Genomic DNA, 5,913 nt, shown 5'->3' with positions numbered 1-5,913 from the left:
AGCATCAAAAGAAGGAATCACCACAAGAATATACTAGAAATCATTTTTATTTTTGCTCCTCGATGATGCCAAGATGATCTAAAGGGAAAACTGCGAGTCACTCATGATATGAATTTGACATGAAGGAATCCATAAGAAAAATTCACTGATGTTTTTATTTCCAGCTATTAAGCCATTTTTTCTCTCTCCTGCTTTGAATTTCTGACCAGTAAGTGCCATATTTTGCTTTGTTACGGGTTCAAGAAATGCATTTAATTGGGAGTTATGACCAAGGTTAAATAATCAGCATGAAATGAGGTTAGCTTTCTTCACTTACTCAGGCGTGAATTCTTCTAGAAACATTTTATAATTACTGATTAGGTTTCCATTAAAAATAAAATGAACAAAACCACAGAATGGTCTTTTCCTGGATCAATAGCAAAGACACGTCCATGCACACACAGAGGAAGTCAGCGCAGCTCCATGACCTTTTCATGAACTTTCCGGGAGACGGAAAGATCATTCAAAGGGCAGAGGTCAGCATTCATGCTGGTCACAAACAAAAATCAGATTTTGCTTTGCAATGAAGGCTTTTACCTATGAGTGCAAATTCAATACTATTATTGCATATTTTCCTCCATTATCAATGACAGAATAAACTGCTTTTGTATTTGCGGCACGTGTTAACATTTACTAACTCATATTACTTTGCTATCTTTATCAAGCATCACAAAATGAAAGATGAGATTTAAAAACTGGAAAACTTCAGTCAAGATGGGAATCCTCAGCTCATCCAAAGGACTTTGCCATGCAAAAGATGCCCCTCTCTGGGTCATTGCTCCCCTCACCGACCCCAACATGCATAGCACAGAGGGAAGGAGGATGCCAGAAAGACAAGATAATAGTGAATTAAGGATGGAGCTTTGCTACAAATAAATTACACAGGTCTTGAGTGGGGAACGTGAGTGCTGCTCCTCTGTGGACGCAGGTTCACCTCACACAGAAACAGTGCAGCTCTCTAGTTTTGCCCCAGAGGATGTTGAGGACTGAAGAGACAAAGGTAGGAATAACTGGGAATCTGAAGCATTTTTAAAAAGACCCTCATTTCCAACAGTGCTGACTCAAATCAGCATCATTGTGAAACCTGAAAACTCAACATGGTTTCTGGGTGGAAGGTGTCCACATAGAGGTGCCAATTGGCAACTCCTAATGTCAGTGTTCTTAGACAAAGGGGAAGCCAGATAGACTGAAGCCATGTGTTTGTTAGAATCAGTTAGGAAGTCAAAAGGCACCTTTAGGAGCTTTAAGAAATCAGGCGAGTATCAAAATATAGAGATCCTACTCTTCTGGAAATCCAATATCCTAACTTGATTAAGAAGAAAAAGCATTTTCAAAGATCTGGATGCAACCACTACAAGTCACAGATGGCTCTGTAGCACTCTTCAGACAATGCAAAGCTTAGAGAGTTCTGAAGCCTTTTATAGAAATAAATTCACATTTGACATATAGTGAAATTTGGGCCCTAATTCTTTTGTGTTCAAATGGGTGTCCTAAAGACACACATTATTCCTGCCTTTTCATGTTCTATTTTCCTGGATACAGCATTTGATTTTCTTAATCACTTGACGTATGACATAGGTGAATTGAAAAATAGCCCAAGGCTATTCGTAACAGTAATAGCTTCATCCAACTTTAATTCTTAATACTGTGTGCTAAATCGGAAGTTAGCTTTTATTAAAACAAGTTTATCTACGTGGGCATAGGGGACATAGGGTAGTGCTGAGAGGCTGGATGCCTACTGAGCCTGTAGAACTTGAAAATTTTAGAAAGAGACTTGGGAGGGCATTCCTTTACCCTCTTTTGTTTTTTAGAAAAGGAAACCAAGCCTTGGTGAGTGAGTGTGTGTGTGTGTGTGTGTGTGTGTGTGTGTAGTACTGATCAATTAGAGGGTAGGCCTTATCCAATCATAGTGGATTGTGGGTCTTGGAGAGGGAATCCAGGAAGTCTTCTGCAGGTATCAGTTCAATCCTTTGGCTACTGAATTGTGGAATGTGGAGGACATCCTGGAAAACAAACAGTTAGTAAACAGTCAGGTAATAGATAACATAAAGTTTCCTCCTAGTCCTGGGAGAAAGATGGTGTGTTCATTGAAAGCTCATCTGCCTGAGTTAGGATGCTGACTCCACCACTTACAAGACGAATGACTTTGGACAAGTTATTTAACTTCTCTAGGCCTTGCCTCAGTTTATTCATTTGTATAATGGAGCTGGTAATAGTAACCTCACAGGATCACACAGCAAAGCATATGGATGCTGTGCTAAGTGTTTTAAGGTTAACTCTTCAAGTATCCTCAACAACTCTCTCAGGTGAACGTTTTTTATTATCTGAATTTTATAGATGAGGAAACAGAAGCTCTGGCAGTGTGATTAACTTGTCTATCTCACATCTGGTAAGAGGCAGAGTAGGGATTCAACCCAGAAGTCCCACATCAACCACAGCCTTGTGTCAACCAGAGTGTCTCACCCTAGAATCCGCATTCAATATTGATCCTAAAGGCCCTGCTTAGATGGCCTCCCACTGACAGCATTATTTACTGAAAATAAATAAGATGCTTATAAAAGGACTTAATGTGATGAATTCTGCCTACTGTTTTTTCCAGAGGTGTTGATTTGTCCAAGTTTACGCAACCAATTCATGAAAAAAAATCAGGTTAAAGGCCCATCTTCTGGTCTTTGGTCCAGTGTCCTATCCACCCTACACACTGCCTTGAATAGAGCTTTCAAAACAAATGGTAAGATCACTCTGAGAAGCATGGAAAAGTGGATAAAAATGTGAATGATCCAACCAGACAACCTGAGTTCGAATCCTGCCTTTACTGACTTGTCCTGTGATCTTACAAAAGTCTCATGATTTCTTTGTGCCTTAGCTTTATCATCTGGAAAATGGGGATGATAATAAGAATATGATCTATCTCCTCCAGATTATTGTGATGATTACATGAAAAATGCACATAAAGCACTTAGAATAATTCCTGGGACAGTCGTGTAACTCAAGCAATGTTAGTTATTATAACACTATTTTTTTCACTCACGCATATAGCCTCTATGTAATACAATTAATAACTAAATTTCAGAAATGTTGCCTTGTACTTTTCAGAAATATGATGGGTCAGAAGGACTGGTGTGGATATATGGTGGAATAAAGTACTAAATTAGAAGGATAAAAGAGTTATTTTAAGTTTCCTGAAAAGGACATGGTTAAGTCTTAGTTCTGTAATTAGATAATACTTCAAAGGATTTTAGTAACATTAGAGAGAAGGAGGTCTGAGAAAATATTCTAGCTGAAAAAGGAAAAATTTGGAGGGGAATTCATGAAAGCATACCGCATCCCGGTAACATTAAATTTTGCTAAGGGAAGGTTTGGGCTTGCAAGAATCATAATATTATTCGAATCAGAAAGGGAGATCAAACTCAGCTAAATGTAATTTGCATTAAACATTTTATTTAAAATGTCTATTTTTAAAGAAAATATAGGATTTAATGTGTATTGGCATGAATGGAGAATTAGAATTAGCCCAAAATACACATTAAATCCAAGTTTTTGGAGGAGAGAGCATAAAGATTTTTTAAAATCTATTTCTCCTTCCTTCGACCCCCATCAAAATTTTATTTAATTCTTCACAGAGCACAGCGAGTAGATTTCTGCTTCTTCGCCCTTTTAATGCGTTCAACTTGGTTTTAAGCACGCATCAGAAAGCAGCTCATGATGAAAGCCTTTTGTTGTCTGCAGACAGAAATGTCAGAAACTTAGCCCTGGTCAGTGCAAGGTATAAAAGAACTCCCCCTAATGCCATCTGTCCTTCAAGATCAAGTTCTGCACAGCTGCATACCCGAGATGGCCTGGGATCACCTGGGTAACCTCTGGGTGATGTTCATATTTGAGATGTGACCTAAGATGGGGAAGAAAGGGGAGAAATAGCAACATGATACTTAACAGATTCTGGCCCAAGCGATCACACATTTTGCTTCCTGCAACTCATAAATCCATTATCTTCAAACTGGGCTGCTCACATTGCAGGCATTCCTCTTTAACAGCTGCAAATGATAAGCTTTACTCTATATAGCTTTCTTTAAAGTACTTTAGAGATATGATTAACCTATATATATACATATATATATATATATACACACATACATATATATTTTATGATAGTCCCTATTTTTTCTGTTTGTCTATAAAAGATGTAGAGATATCAGTGGCCCATTGTTTTTTATTGACCCTATGAATGGGTCCTTCAAAGCTTCCCCATTCTACAGAGACTCTAATTTCAGTAATGAGACCATATCTTAAAAAATAAACTTTTTAAAATTATAGAGCTGGATCACCCACTACAATTTACCATTCTACTATTACTCAACCTGAAAAAAAGAAGGAAATCCTGCCATTTGCAACAACATGGATGAACTTTGAGGACATTATGCTACGTGAAATAAGCCAGGCACAGAAAGACAAATACCAGATGATTTCACTTATATGTGGAATCTAAAAAAAAAAAAAAAAAAGTCAAACTTCTAGTAGCAGAAAGTAGAATGTTCACTACCAGGGGCTGAGGGGTGGAGGGACTGGGAAGATATTGGTCAAAGGGTACAAGCCTTCAGCTGTAAGGTGAGTTAAGTATTGGAAACTTAATGTATAGCTTGTTGACTATAGTTAATAATAATATATTATATATTTGAAATTTGCTGAGAGTAGATTTTCCAGTTTTCTCATCACACACACACACAGACACAGACACACACAAAAGGTAATGATGGAAGATTATGTATGTGTTAATTAGCTTGATTGTGGTAATTATTTCACAATGTATACATATATCAAAACATCATATTACATCCCCTAAATGAGTACAATTTTTATTTATCAATCATACTTCAATAAAGCTGGGAAAAAATAATAATTTACTCTTCTATTTTTCCCCACGGAGAGAAATTTTTTACCTAGACATTCTGTTACAACCAAGAATTTTTAGAAAAAGAAATGTGCGAGAACTAGTTTCTCACAGTGCTTGGGTAAGGTCAGCACATATTGATATCCAAGGACAATATTTAGATACAATTGTTTTCATAACTTTTAGGTAAAAAAAAATAATAAAACCAACAGAGTTCTCCTTTTCCAATCTGTTAAATAATCATAGAATCATAATCACTTAACTTGGTGGAGAGTCTACAGTAACATACTCAAGCCAACTCACAACTGGCTGGCAAGAGCCAATGTGTACCTGTCTTCCCAATGCCTTACTCAGCAATAGAAGGTTGGTAGTTTCAAATCTGCTATGATGTGAGTATTTACACCTTGAACACTGGCAAATGCTTCCCTCCCTATCCCGACTCCCAGGAACTGGCTGTTAAATATTTACCAGCACACCACAACTTCAGCAGAACTGTGTCCAGCCTTGGACTCCAATGCTGGTGAGTTATTTCTGGGAATTCCAATCATCAAGAAGCATTAAATACTTAAGAGTGACTATTGTGCTCAGCCGTAAATAGATATGGATGAGTAACATAGAGCAGGGGAAAAATGCAAATGATTATGCTTGTTAAACTAGTTTTAATAAAACCGCCTTCTCATTCAATATAACAACTACTATTAAACAGGATAAATTCAACCTCCCGCAACAGTGACTGCCAGCAAGGGACTCTGAGAAGTGTGGAAAAATTGAGAATAAAGAATCCTCTGAAAATAGCCTTTCTTAATAAAAATAAAAATATTGCTACTATGTGTGTTTGCTCTTTTCTTTCCTCTGAAGAAAAAAAATTACCTCACACATTAATACAAAAATGAAAACAAAAACACCAAGAATCTTTCCATATGTTTTATATTAGTAGAAAAACTTTCAGAAAAAAAGTTGTTAACTAAAGTGGGTTTACATTTTAC

General features: G+C 37.0%; 1 long non-coding RNA gene across 1 annotated transcript, besides 1 other annotated feature; it reads right to left on the bottom strand.

Annotated features, from left to right (window-relative positions):
* Window positions 1–1,200: an enhancer, noted in NCBI's record as "CDK7 strongly-dependent group 2 enhancer chr2:177453489-177454688 (GRCh37/hg19 assembly coordinates)". NCBI's record gives its function as "activates an origin of replication core promoter dependent on BRD2, BRD4, P300/CBP, MED14 and CDK7 cofactors, with strong dependence on CDK7, by STARR-seq in HCT116 cells {active_cell/tissue: HCT116}" and the evidence as "EXISTENCE:reporter gene assay evidence [ECO:0000049][PMID:35650434]".
* On the bottom strand, window positions 30–4,412 carry LOC124907910 (uncharacterized). Its single transcript, XR_007087314.1, has 2 exons — window positions 3,869–4,412; window positions 30–2,042 (listed from the first exon to the last, which is right to left on the bottom strand). It is a non-coding gene; the product is annotated as an uncharacterized LOC124907910 (long non-coding RNA).
* Between the last annotated feature and the right edge of the window lie 1,501 nt (window positions 4,413–5,913).

Source organism: Homo sapiens, chromosome 2, assembly GCF_000001405.40.
Source record: "Homo sapiens chromosome 2, GRCh38.p14 Primary Assembly".
NCBI lineage: Eukaryota > Metazoa > Chordata > Mammalia > Primates > Hominidae > Homo > Homo sapiens.
The sequence above is the reverse complement of the archived record's forward strand: the minus strand, read 5'-3'. Positions and strand labels throughout refer to the sequence as shown.